The 14,503-nt window shown below is 38.9% G+C and overlaps 1 pseudogene across 1 annotated transcript in view; it reads left to right on the forward strand.

Moving 5' to 3' along the window:
• FLJ43315 (asparagine synthetase pseudogene) overlaps positions 1 to 12,169 on the forward strand; it is a 44,663-nt pseudogene extending 32,494 nt beyond the window's left edge. Inside the window, 2 exon segments of the transcript NR_033856.1 lie at positions 5,033 to 5,308; positions 10,701 to 12,169. The product of NR_033856.1 is annotated as an asparagine synthetase pseudogene (transcript).
• The last annotated feature ends 2,334 nt before the right edge of the window (positions 12,170 to 14,503 follow it).

A 14,503-nucleotide genomic window follows, 5' to 3' on the forward strand; every position in this document is an offset into this window, starting at 1 on the left:
TATTACTCCTCATATCGCAGGACGTGAACACCCTCCTGTGATATTGTTTGTAATATTGTTCCCAATATCCTTTTCCCCCATGGATATAGGAACAGTATCACATAGGACGTGTACACCCCCTGCCATATTGGGAGTAGTTGTGTTTACTCCCTTGCTGGACATTAGGAAGAATACCATGGGGGGGTGCACACCCCCTGCGATATTGACAGTGATATCATCCACTATCCCCTAAATATAGGAACAATATCACAAGGGAGATGTACACACTTGGCGATATTGAAAGTGATATGATCCTCTCCCCACCTGGATATTAGGAACAATATCACAGAAGGGGTGTACACCCCCTGTGATATTGACAGTAATATCCTCTCCCCCCCGGATATTAGGAGCAATATCGCAGAAGCGTTGTACACTCCCTGCGATATTGACAGTAATATCCTCTCCCCCCCGGATATTAGGAACAGTATCACAGAAGAGGTGTACACCCACTGTGATATTGACAGTAATTTCCTCTCCCCCCCCGGATATTAAGAACAATACCACGGGGGGGTGTACACCCCCTGCGATTTTGACAGTAATATCATCCTCTCCCCCCAGATATTAGTGACAATATCACCGAAGGGGTCTACACCCCCTGTGATATTGACAGTAATTTCCTCTCCCCCCCCCCAGATATTAAGAACAATACCACGGGAGGATGTACACCCTCTGTGACATTGACAGTAATATCAACCTCTCGCCTCCCTGGATATTAGGAAGAATACCACGGGGGGTGCACACCCCCTGTGATATTGGGAGTAATATCACCCACTATCCCCTAAATATTAGGAAAAATATCACAAGGCAGGGAGAACACTGTCTGCGATATTGGGAGTAATGTCATCCTTTCCCTGCCCCTGCATACTAGGAATAATATCACAGGGGATGTACACCCCCATGAGCTATTGGGAATAGCATCACCCTTTCTTCCCATGGATATTAGGAACAATATCACAGAAGTGGTGCACACACGCTGCACTGTATAGAACAAAGCAGGCAGAGGAAGGTGGGATAACCTTGCTAGCTGTAGCTTCTGGCTCTCTTTTTTTCTTCTTCCCGTGCAGGACACTTGCTTCCCTTCTTCCTGCCCTTGGACATGAAACTCCAGGTTCTTATGCCTTTGGACTCTGGGACTTGCACCAGCAGCTTCCCCGAGGCTCTCAGGCCCTCGGCCTCAGACTGAAGACTGCACTGCGGGCTTTCCTGGTTTTGAGGCTTTTGGACTTGGACTGAGCCACTACTAGCTTCTCTCTTTCCCTACCTGGCAGACAGCCTATTGTGGGACTGCCTTCTAACCGTGTGAACCAATTCTCTCTCGTAAACTCCCTTATACATATACGTGTATCTTGTTGGATCTGTCCCTCTGGAGAACCCTAACTAATACATTTTGTTTATTTTTTCTCCACTGCCCTTTCCTCTGCTTCTAGGCTTACCTAGACCACCACCATTCTTTCCCCCTTTCTAAATTAAAAGTTGTTTTTTTTCTCGCTAAATGCATGGTATTCTGCCCATTTTCCATGGCTTCCCTCAGCCTTGCTCTGTTTATTCTTGCTCTCTTAAGAGGAAATCCCTGCCTCTTCCGTGGCTTTTCCCACTTGGTCTACTTACTGATTTCTGTTGTTCTCAGAGACACACTGAGACCTTTCACATCTCACTCTCACTTCTTGGAATGGCTCTCTACCTCGTCTGCCTGCTGAGCAACCTCTTGGGGAGACGCGGGCACTCTTGAGTCACTGAACTTGAGCTATTTGGTGTTGGTATGTTAATTTATCTTCTTAGACCACTTACCACTTCCTTCAAAAGAGAAGAATAAGTATTATTTTCCATGGTCGATATGAAGAGTAGAAATAACTTATACAAAATGCATTGCAGTTAAGTGATAATAAATGGCCGTGAATGCCCTTATTAATGTTATTCTATCAGTCTCGGCTCAGATACCATCTGCTCTGTGAGCTCTGCTCTGAATCATATCTGCTTCTTCTCTGGGTTCCTTGTGCTCTGTTCTTAACTACTTTAGAGCAGTAATTGTTCTGATTCTAATTAGTGATCCTTCCCAATAAAATTTTAATTTTGTAGATCTCTTCCCCCCACCCCTGCCCCAGCCTAACTAGTGCTTTCTTACTTTTTTGTGTACAGGCTACATCACTGGTCTTCTTTTATTTGTGGCTAAATAAATGTTGTGTTAGAAGAGTAAAGAGTTCCCAGTTACATGGGATCTATAGTTCTACAAAATGAATGTATACATAAACCATGTAAATATTTCACTTATTTTAAGACAATTTTTTAATTTTTAAATTAAATTTAATTTGTGCATGTGTGTGAGACTAGAGTGAGAACAGAGATGGCGGTGGTGAGGGGCGGTGGTCTCACCATGTTGCCCAGGCTGGTCTTGAACTCCCCTTCAAGTTCCCCCTCCTCACCTGGCCCCCCTCACCTTGCCTCCTCCCCTGGCCCCCCTCACCTTGCCTCCTCCCCTCTCACTCTTATGCCAGCCCCTGCCATTCCCCACCCCCTGTGTAGACTGCAAGACTCAACAAGTGACTTGCTGAGCAAACCCTGCTGAGAAGAGGTCTGTTTAGGGACACAGGAGGCCAAGTACACAAAAAAGCAAAAGAACTAGCATGCCTTTTTCAATGGATGTCTATTTTACAGGGCTGGCTTCAGATTATTGTTATAGCTTTAAATAAAAGGACCGTTTTGTCATCTCGACCCATGGCCTACATTATTTCTTTACTGTCCATTGCCCTGGGCGCTTGACTAATAATTTAACAGCAGTTTTTTTTTTTAAATTTTAAATCATGATTCATTGCATTGCTGTAAGAGTAATTAGAGGTAAAGTAGGGCTTGAAACTGCCTGTAGTTGGTTACTTACTGAGATCTTAGCATAATTGTCAGGTGAGAGGGTGAAGTTTTAATTAGTGCTAAGTGGGATAGAAATTCAATGCACTGAAACTGCAGTGTCCAATTCAGTAGGTGCTAGCCACCTGTAACTGTTGAGCACTTGGAATCCTGGCTAGTCCTAATTGAGATGTGTTATGTTAAATACACTGGATTTTGTCATTGGAGTGGGAAGAACAGTGTAGAATATCTGCTTGATTTTTTTATATTGATTACATGTTAAAATTATTACTATGATTACTATTTGGGACATACTGAGTTAAGTATATTTAAAATTAATTTCACATTTTCTTTTAATGGGGCTTACTAGTACATTTAAAATTATGTACATGGCTCACATATTTATTGGACAACACGGCTCCACAAGTTTAGGAAGAAATAAGAAAAATATTGAGAATAGGTAGCGACAGTAGGAAGTTTGTCCTCCTGTAAGACTGATTCCAATATAACTAATAGGTGATAGTTTTAATTGGCTTTTTCCTACTAGAAAAAGTAAGTGTACTTTACATGCCTCTTTGTTCTCCCTCTTTCCCCTTCAATTTAGTGGTTAGCGTGTATTTACTATATCAGGCTTAATATTCACTAAGCAGTGTTAAGAAGACTTAGGTAAATGATTCCCTGATGAACACACTTGATTTTGAAAGCACTTTCCTAACCCATTTTTAATAGGAATAGAGTCAAAGGTAGATGGCTTATTAGTAGTCATCTCATTTAAATCTCATGGAATTTTCCTGCTAAATCTCAAAGTAAACAATTTGTTATAGGCTGTTTTGTCAAGTGTATGGAAGGGACAGCATAAGACATGTGGTACTTCATTTCCAAATTGCTTGAGATGGTTTTCATTATAATCATACATTATTTGCTTCTGGTTTTCCGGAAAAGCCAGCTAAACCTGAGGTTCATTTAGATATAAATGAAATATCCTCAAAGGATTGCTCAAAGTGACTTATGCAACTTGAATATATATTTTTTCTGTAGGGTGTTTATTCCAAATTACCTGGCCATTTGCTGCAATTTGCAGTTTTTTAGAAAACACCAAATATTTCTCAAGTTAGAGATGTTTTAATAAAAACAGTCATATTGAACTGGCAGCAGCCAAATAAAATGGCCCTTTATTTCACAGTTGAGAATTTGAAATTGGAAGGTAATTAACATATGTAAGGATGATGTATTTGCTGCCTGGCTTATAGGAATGAGCCAAGTTGTTTTTTGAGGGATGTTGTTGCTGTGTATGTCCCACCTATTTTGCTTCCTTAATGAACAATGCAAGTTTGAGACAGAAATATTTGAGAACATTTTTATCAGTTGCAACATTTTGATAGTGAACATTTTATATCTTCTGTCAACTTAAAATGTTTGCATCTTCTGTCAGCTTAAAATGTTTAATTTGTTATAGCCAAATAATTTGGCTATAATTGATAATTTAATTTATCAAATTAAATTGCTTTTTTTCCCTTTAGACTTTCTTCAGTCACATCTGAATAAATCACTTAGAAGTAAGCTAGATGTAATATAATGAAATGTTTAAAAGGGCTGTGTATCTACATATTACACTTACAGTGATTTTCTGTTGTACCCATTATATTCTACCTGCAGCTAGTTGAGGTAAAGAGAGGGCATTTAACTGTCAAGGGAACCTGTGAGGAGACTGTAGAAATCTAGAAAGTCTCTTGGGTCTTTGAGGGATTTTGGGATGCAGAGAGTGGGGCTGGGATCTCTGGCTAGGTTGGAGCCAGCCTGCATTTGTATCTTTATCTTGGAAGCAAACATAGAATGCAGAGATAGATGTGGCCTGGATGCTGCTAACTCTAGCCAACCACTAAATCTTAAGGTGGGAGAGATGCAGGCTTTGGCTGGGTGCTAAGCTGTTGTAGCTGGTTGAATGTAGAGGTCACTATCTTTTCTGAATACTTGTAAGTAAATTAAATCATTCTCTACTCCTGTATGCCTGCCAACCAAATGGGAAATCGCTATAGAAAAGATGGTTTAAATTTTAGTCTTTGAAGTGGTTTACGCACGTTTCTGGAATCAAGATTTAATGCAGACTTGGATTGGATATTGAATATTTTTTATTTGTCTACTTTTCTCTCCATAGGGAGTTTATAGCTTCATTGCACTGTGTGTGGCATTTGGGTCCTGTTTGGCAGCAATGACTGCCTTTCTGTTTAGTGTCTGTGTGCTATGAAGAGTGCACACAGGGGTCCAGATGCATCCTGTTTTGAGAATGTTAATGGATACACCAGCTGCTGCTTTGGATTTCACCCATTGGTGGTAGTTGACCCGCTGTTTGTTTGGAATGCAGACAATTTAAGTGAAGACATATCCATATATGTGGCTCTGTTACAGTGGTGAAATCTACAACCATAAGAAGGTAGGGAAAAAGAAGCAAGAGGTCTGGATGTGATTAAACTTCAGAGCTTGTTGGTTACGATGACATTATATATTCTGTATCATGCTTTTTACTTTGCAAAGCATTCTATGTTATCTCATTTGCTCTAAGTATGTAGATAGGGAACTGATGAATAAAATGGTGAGTGAAATCACTTGGTCACAAAAAAAAGTGATAAAAATGGGGATTACACAGTTTCTTTGACTCTTAGAATTTTTTCTCCTTCTCCCCAGCTTTTTGTTTTGAAAAAAATTCTAACATACAGAAAAGAACAGAATAGTGAGCACCTAGATTGAATAATCATTAATGTTTTGCCATATTTCCTTGATTTTTCTTTCTACACACACACACACACACACACACACACACACACACACAGTTTTTTGCCAACACATTTGAGAGTATGGTGCAGGTTTTGTGACACTCCTAAATATATAAGCATTTATGTCCTAAGAATAAGGACATTTTTCTACATAACATCAATACTATTATTAAACCTAAGAATCCATGATATCACCTGGCTGGGTGCGGTGGCTCACGTCTGTAATCCCAGCACTTTGGGAGGCTGAGGTGAGTGGATCACGAGGTCAGGAGGTCGAAACCATGCTGGCTAGCACGGTGAAACCCCGTCTCCACTAAAAATACAAAAATAAAAAAATCAGCCAGGCCTAGTGGTGGGCACCTGTAGTCCCAGCTACTCGGGAGGCTGAGGCAGGAGAATGGTGTGAACCTGGAAGGTGGAACTTGCAGTGTGCCAAGATTGAGCCACTGTACTCCAGCCTGGGAGACAGAGCAAGACTCTGTCTCAAAAAAGAAAAAAAAACATAATGCCACCTAATATCCAGTTAATACTTAAATTTCCCTAAGTGTCTGGAGAATTTTTTTTTTTTTTAGACAAGAGTCTCAACTTCATCACCCAGGCTGGAGTGCAGTGTTGCAATCTCAGCTCACTGCAACCTCTGCCTCCCGGTTTCAAGCGATTCTCCTTCTTCAGCCTCCTGAGTAGCTGGGATGACAGGCCCACCTGTCGCCATGGCTGGCTAATTTTTTGTATTTTAGTAAAGACTGGGCCCAGGGTGGTCTCTAACTCCTGAGCTCAGGCAATCTGCTCACCTTGGCCCCTCAAAGTGCTACCAAGAATATCTTTATAGCTGGTATTTGTTTGTTTAGAGCCAGATTTCATTCAAGATTCATGCATTTGGTTGTGATGTTTCTTGGTATTTTTTCTGAGACTTCTTGATAGATACCTGTCATGCAGTGATAGAGAGTTATACCCTAACCATGTTTTGGACATTTTTATCTCTGAATAATAGCTTTTGTCATTGTTTGTTGCCTGCTCACGGGAACACTCTTAATAACAGTCTTCTTGTTCAAAAAGTTTTAAAATAGTTATTCAAGAAATTCCTTTCACACATTTCTTTATTCCTTTATTAAGGGCCTAATATGCACCAGACATCATTTTTCTAGGTGATTGTAGATGAAATGGTGAAAAGGAAAGGCAAGAATGGAATTTCCTGCTAGTGGGAAGTAGAAGAGAGTATTAAAACTTTTTTCTTTCTAAGTCAAATCAGTGTCATATGCATGAGAAAGCTAGGCAGTATGATGGCATTATCAGCTTGACTTTCTCCTTAAATGAAATAGGAAGTGCCCTGTTTTACTCAGACAGTTTTTTTTTCTAAAAAGCTAAAAGAAGTTAAATATTTTGAAAATAATTAATTTCTGTTCTAAATTAGTCAAATGTTATATTTGTAAAACTAGAGAAGTTTGTTCCATTGCTTCTACCAAGCCTCTCAGTTTATGTAGTTGGGGCAGCTAGAAATCTAATGAACAGAATGTATATTTTAGGCTTATATAAAGTATTCTGCAACATAAGCTCAAAAATACCCCCTACCCTCTTTTTGATAAAAATAAAGTTTACTACTAATAATAAAATACAGCCAGAGGTGTGCTGGGAGTGGAGGGGGACTGAGTGAAAGAAAGTAGGAATGGGGTAAAGGCTGGGGCAAAGAGCAGACTCTCTCCCTGCAGGGGAGTATCAGGGGCCTGCAGTCAAGTTAAATGACAGCATGACTTCAGGAGGCCAGATTTGAGGGCTTTTATCTAAGATGCAGCATCGGAGTTTGGTTTAAGAGAGTAGGAAGTGATACATCTGTTACCCAAAGGACCCTTCTCTTTTTTGAATAAATTACCTGCAGAGTTTAGGCCAAAGAGGCGGGCAAGGTAGATTTGGGAAACTGTTGCTTGCTAATATCACCAAACGCTTTCTTTTTATACTTGCTGGAGGCTTTAATTGGGACAAGGACATTTTTATACAAAGATAGAGAAAACAATCACCTATGGAATTTGATTCCTTGCTCCATGCCCTCGCTAGCACCTCTCAACATGCTTGATGATATTTAAAATTTATTCATAGGGAAAAAACTTTTCATCCCACAATTAGAATCAGGCTTAACTTGCTTTTTGAAAAGTTAGTATGTAATTGGTGTTAAGATATAAATTACCAAGATTTTTATACTTGAAACAGATTTAGATGATAGAGTGAGGTAGGTGGTGGTAGTTGGTGGGAAGGGGTAGTTTTTTAGAGAGGGTATTAGGAGTTGTGATTTTCAATGTGAGAGAGGTGAAGGTTTGAAAATAAGTAAGAAAAGCACTAAAAGGGTGAAGTCAAGGGCCTCTGAGAGCCAGGATGATAGATTCTATTTCACAGTTTAACACAGGATCAGCATAGACCAAAGCAAGTTTGTAACTAAGGCAATGAAGATCATCTGTCTCCTCCCTTCCCCATTAATTGTGAACTTTAGTTTTATAAGCTCCTAAGAGGCAGAAAACAAGCTGGAGACCCGTCATCTATTTGAGAGTATATGGCATGTATCTATTGTCCTAGGTGCTGGGTTTATTTTTTTCAGCTAATGACAGTTTTCCATGCTTTATGGTCACTTACCCTTCAGGCAATTCAGCCCTGGACAGTCAGCAGAAGACTGTTTCCAGACCCCACCTGCTAGTTACAGATCATCCCTGATAGAGCAGAGACGGGTGACCAGGTTGTGGCTTTATAGTCACTGTAGGCAAAGCCCATTTTTGGACAGTTACATTGAGGGCTTACAGACAAAATGTTCACAAATTATGGAGTGAGCTGAATGGAGTGCGAAGCGTATTTATGGGTCACACACATACACAATAGGTTTACTTTTTGAGATTTGAAAACATGTTTTAAACTTAACCTAGGATTTCCACCTGATTTAAACCTCTTCTTTCTCTAATGTCAGCCAAAAATGTGAGTATGACATACAAAGAGCAATACATCAAGGACTTTTCATCCTCATAGTTTGCCAGTGATGGTGGAGAGTGTCAGAATTGGGGAGTATCCTAATCAAACTTTCTTACTCTGCATGCAGTGGCAGACAGTCCCTTTGCTGTTGCTTTGGGGCATGCAGACTAATAAAGTGCCACCATCATTTTATCTCTCAGTGAGGAGTAGTTTTAATGCTACTGCCGTGGTGGGAGCACTGGACATTGTCATCCACCCCTGAGGACAAGCAGCTTTGTTTTGGATCATGTATCTGTTATTGTGATGGAGCCATTTATTTTTCAGGGAATGATGCCAAATGATGTCTGTCTCTTTGCTTTACATTTTTATACCTAGGTCTTTGAAGCTGAACTGGAGGAACTTCTTAGCCAATACTGTCTTCTCAAACTTTACAGTTGCAGAAGACACATTTTTTAATGTCATGGCGACCAAGCAACCTATTACCTTAACTTAAATTTAGAGGTTGAGCATCCCTAATCTGAAAATCTGAAATTTGAAATGCTTCAAAATCTGAAACTTTTTGAGCACTGACATGACACTACATGTGGATTTTGATGTCCGAGTCAAAATGCAGGTGAACAACACACAGTTTATTTGATGTTCTCTAGTGAAAAAAGACCCTCTCAGCCCCCTTCAGCTGCAGTATAACTTTTGTACACATGCTCAGATTTCCCCATGTAAGTACACCCAAAAAGGGTCACAGAATGGCACATGTGCAAGCTGGACACGCCAAAGGCAGGATCCCCACAGACGGGACCTAAGTGCATTACCCATTGTGTATTTTTGCTTATTCTCTGCTCTGTGATGTTAACATACTGAAAATGTCAATAAGACCTGTAGATATCCCTACGAGCAGCAACGATAAGGAAAAGTAGAAATACTTATAACACAGAAAGTCAAGCTGTTGGAGAAATTGGACTGTAGTGTAAAGGTATAGATGACATGGTGAAAATGTGTGATAGAGATATTGAAGATATTGAAGGACTAAAGCTACCTGCATTCATAACAGAACAAGAGGTCATGTCAGTTTATAAAATTAAAGAGAGACTTCCAAGACAAAAGCCATTGATAATGAGACAGATGCCTCTGGAGAAACATTATAAAAAGCCATCTGGCAGAATGCCTCCTCAGCCTCAGAGGACTCACCTCCTAGTTGCTCAACTCTTCTGATATTTCTTCTCACCTAAAAAAAAGAAAAAAATACAATGCACAGTAACCTTTTAATCAAAACACAGCCTTGTAGGTGGAGCCTGAAAGCTTGCCATTGTTTGTACAGCTGTTTAACAGCTGATGCAGGTATTCTGGTGATGCTACTGTGTTGCTTATTATTTTTTACTGTATTAATGGCATGCCATATTTTTACTTATGTGTGAATAAGTGTGTGAAAATGATTGCTCATCAGTAGCATATAAATTCAGAGTCAAAAAGGATGGTCAGTGACATCAGACAGCCACAGATTTTCCACATGGAAGCTGAGATAGTGACACCTTTGCTTTCTGATGGTTCCATGTACACAAACTTTGTTTCATGCACAAAATTATTTGAAATATTATATAAAATTACTTTTAGGCTATGTGTATAAGATATATGAAACATAAGTGAATTTACATTTAGACTTGGATCTCATCCCCAAGATATCTCATGTAGATGCAAATATTCTAAAATCCAAAAAAAAATTCCGAAACCCAAAACACTTCTGGTTCCAAACATTTCAGATAAGGGATACTCAATCTGCATATATAAAAATATTTATGTATCACATACATAATATGTATATAATATGAATTTCCATTCTTCCACAGGTTACTATTCTGGTACACTCCCATTATATTCTGTTTATCAGACTGCAACTAAAGCTTTCATGGGTTCAGCTTTATATTGAACAGAATTTGCAGAATTATGAGTTGAAGCAAACCCTAGTTTGAAAATGCTATGATTCTCCTAAATCACCAAAGTGCATGAAATGATTTTAGAGCTCCAGAAATACTAAAGCAACTTTGTGATAAAAAATTATTAGTGAATGCACAAGGAGTCTATAACGTTTTGGTTTTGCTATTGCTTCCTAAGGTGCAGCACCGTTTTGAATTTGAATACCAGACCAAAGTGGATGGTGACATAATCCTTCATCTTTATGACAAAGGAGGAATTGAGCAAACAATTTGTATGTTGGATAGTGTGTTTACATTTGTTTTACTGGATTCTGCTAACAAGAAACTGTTCCTGGGCAGAGATACATAAGGAGTCAGACCTTTGTTTAAAGCAGTGACAGAAGATGGATTTTTGGCTGTGTGTTCAGAAGCTAAAGGTAATAGTAAATTTATCTATAGATTTCCATTATTGTCTTGGTCGTGTGTTTTCTTTTAAATTATATTTGAAAATCTCTTAGCTATCCAGAATTTTACAAGTGACTAATTAATTTGTGAGTTCTTACCTTTTTTAAAAAAACAGAGGAGTTGTACTCTCCTTTTCAGCACTTAAATTCTGTAATCCTTGAAGGATGGGTCTTTAGTGTAGTCAATTATTTTTGCTGTGCTAATATGCTCTGCATCTAGCTTGATCGTAAGTGCAGTTTTAAGTTTTCCTGTGTCATACTGTAACGGTAGGGCTGGCTCTGCAATTATTGCCCTGCGGTACTTTGCCGCAGTTATAGCACAGCAAATATTAGGATTTCTAAAACAGCTTTATTGGTAATTCACATGCCATGTAATTCACCCACTCAAAGTATATAGTTCAGTGGTTTTTAGTATATTCACAGATGTTGGGAACCAACACTCCAATCAATTTTAGAATTGTTTTTCCACCTCAAAAAAAATTACAAATGAAATCCTATGCCCTTTACCTTATTTTATTTCTATTTATTTATTTTTTTAAGAGATGGGGTTTTGCTCAGTCAACCAGCCCAGGCTGGAGTGCAGTGGTGTAATCATAGCTTAGTGCAGTCTTGAACTACTGGGCTCAAGCAATCCTCCCATCTCAGCCTCCCTAGTAGCTAGGAGTACAGGCATGGACCACAACATCCTGCCTCCTGTGCCTTTAGCTTTCAATTCCGTCTCTCCACATCCATCATCTGCATCCCCGCAGTTGTAGCGCTGGCAATCACCAATCTTTCTGCCTCTGGATTCCCTATTACATGTGTTTCATATAAATGGGATTATCTATCATATGGGATTTGTTACTGGATTCTGTCACTTGGCATAATGCTTGCAAGGTTTGTCTATGCCGTAACATGTATCAGTACTTACTTTTTATGGCCACATGATACTTTGTTACATGGATACACTGGATTTTGTTTATGCACTTGTCAGTTAATGGACACTTAGGACATTGTTTACCCCTTTTGGCTATTACGAATAATGCTGCTATAAACGTTGGTTTACAAGTTTTTGTGTAGACATTTCTCTTCGGTGTTTATCTAGGAGCAGAATTGCTCAGATGCATGATAACTGTCTAATTGAGGAACTGCCAAACTGCTTTTTGAAATGGCTGCATTATTTTTTATTCCCTCCAGCAGTATATTAAAATTTCAGTTGCTCCACATTTTCACAAACACTTACTGTGTGACTTTTTAATTGTAGCCATTCTAATATATGTGAAATTGTATCTCATTGTGGTTTTCATTTGTATTTTCCTATTGAAGGTAATGTCCAGTGTCTTATCTCATGCTTATTGGCCATGTGTATATCTTCTTTGGGGAAATATTTGTTGAGATCTTTTGCCATTTTTTTTTCCTGCTAGGGATCATTTTATTTTAAAAACATAATAGATTTTTTTTTGGCAGTTTTGGAAAAAATAGAAAAGTACAGAGGTTCACATATGCTCCCCTACAGTGCCCCCGCCCAGTTTTCCCAGCTCTGAACACCTTGTGTTACTGTGCTACATTTAAAAGATTTGATGAACTGATACTTATATCTGAATTTTGTAGTTTACATTAGGGTTCACTCTGTGTTTTACAGATTTTTGGATTTGACAAATGCATAATGTTGTGTACCCACCATTACAGTATTATGTAGAACATTTTATTTTATTTATTTATTTATTTATTTATTTTTTATTATTATACTTTAAGTTTTAGGGTACATGTGCACGTTATGCAGGTTAGTTACATATGTATACATGTGCCGTGCTGGTGCGCTGCACCCACTAACTCGTCATCTAGCATTAGGTGTATCTCCCAATGCTATCCCTCCTTCCTCCCCCTACCCCACAACAGTCCCCAGAGTGTGATATTCCCCTTCCTGTGTCCATGTGATCTCATTGTTCAATTCCCACCTATGAGTGAGAACATGCAGAGTTTGGTTTTTTGTTCTTGCGATAGTTTACTGAGAATGATGATTTCCAATTTCATCTATGTCCCTACAAAGGACATGAACTCATCATTTTTTATGGCTGCATAGTATTCCATGGTGAATATGTGCCACATTTTCTTAATCCAGTCTATCATGGTTGGACATTTGGGTTGGTTCCAAGTCTTTGCTATCGTGTATAATGCTGCAACAAACATACGTGTGCATGTGTCTTTATAGCAGCATGATTTATAGTCCTTTGGGTATATACCCAGTAATGGGATGGCTGGGTCAAGTGGTATTTCTAGTTCTAGATCCCTGAGGAATTGCCACACTGACTTCCACAATGGTTGAACTAGTTTACAATCCCACCAACAGTGTAAAAGTGTTCCTATTTCTCCACATCCTCTCCAGCACCTGTTGTTTCCTGACTTTTTAATGATTGCCATTCTAACTGGTGTGAGATGGTATCTCCTTGTGGTTTTGATTTGCATTTCTCTGATGGCCAGTGATGATGAGCATTTTTTCATGTGTTTTTTGGCTGCATAAATGTCTTCTTTTGAGAAGTGTTTATTCATGTCCTTTGACCACTTTTTGATGGGGTTGTTTGTTTTATTCTTGTAAATTTGTTTGAGTTCATTGTAGATTCTGGATATTAGCCCTTTGTCAGATGAGTAGGTTGCGAAAATTTTCTCCCATTTTGTAGGTTGCCTGTTCACTCTGGTGGTAGTTTCTTTTGCTGTGCAGAAGCTCTTTAGTTTAATTAGATCCCATTTGTCAATTTTGTCTTTTGTTGCCATTGCTTTTGGTGTTTTAGACATGAAGTCCTTGCCCATGCCTATGTCCTGAATGGTAATGCCTAGGTTTTCTTCTAGGATTTTTATGGTTTTAGGTTTAACGTTTAAGTCTTTAATCCATCTTGAATTGATTTTTGTATAAGGTGTAAGGAAGGGATCCAGTTTCAGCTTTCTACATATTGCTAGCCAGTTTTCCCAGCACCATTTATTAAATAGGGAATCCTTTCCCCATTGCTTGTTTTTCTCAGGTTTGTCAAAGATCAGATAGCTGTAGATATGCGGTGTTATTTCTGAGGGCTCTGTTCTGTTCCATTGATCTATATCTCTGTTTTGGTACCAGTACCATGCTGTTTTGGTTACTGTAGCCTTGTAGTATAGTTTCAAGTCAGGTAGTGTGATGCCTCCAGCTTTGTTCTTTTGGCTTAGGATTGACTTGGCAATGCAGGCTCTTTTTTGGTTCCATATGAACTTTAAAGTAGTTTTTTCCAATTCTGTGAAGAAAGTCATTGGTAGCTTGATGGGGATGGCATTGAATCTGTAAATTACCTTGGGCAGTATGGCCATTTTCACGATATTGATTCTTCCTACCCATGAGCATGGAATGTTCTTCCATTTGTTTGTATCATCTTTTATTTCTTTGAGCAGTGGTTTGTAGTTCTCCTTGAAGAGGTCCTTCACATCCCTTGTAAGTTGGATTCCTAGGTATTTTATTCTCTTTGAAGCAATTGTGAATGGGAGTTCACTCATGATTTGGCTCTCTGTTTGTCTGTAGTTGGTGTATAAGAATGCT

Source organism: Homo sapiens, chromosome 9, assembly GCF_000001405.40.
Source record: "Homo sapiens chromosome 9, GRCh38.p14 Primary Assembly".
Lineage (NCBI taxonomy): Eukaryota > Metazoa > Chordata > Mammalia > Primates > Hominidae > Homo > Homo sapiens.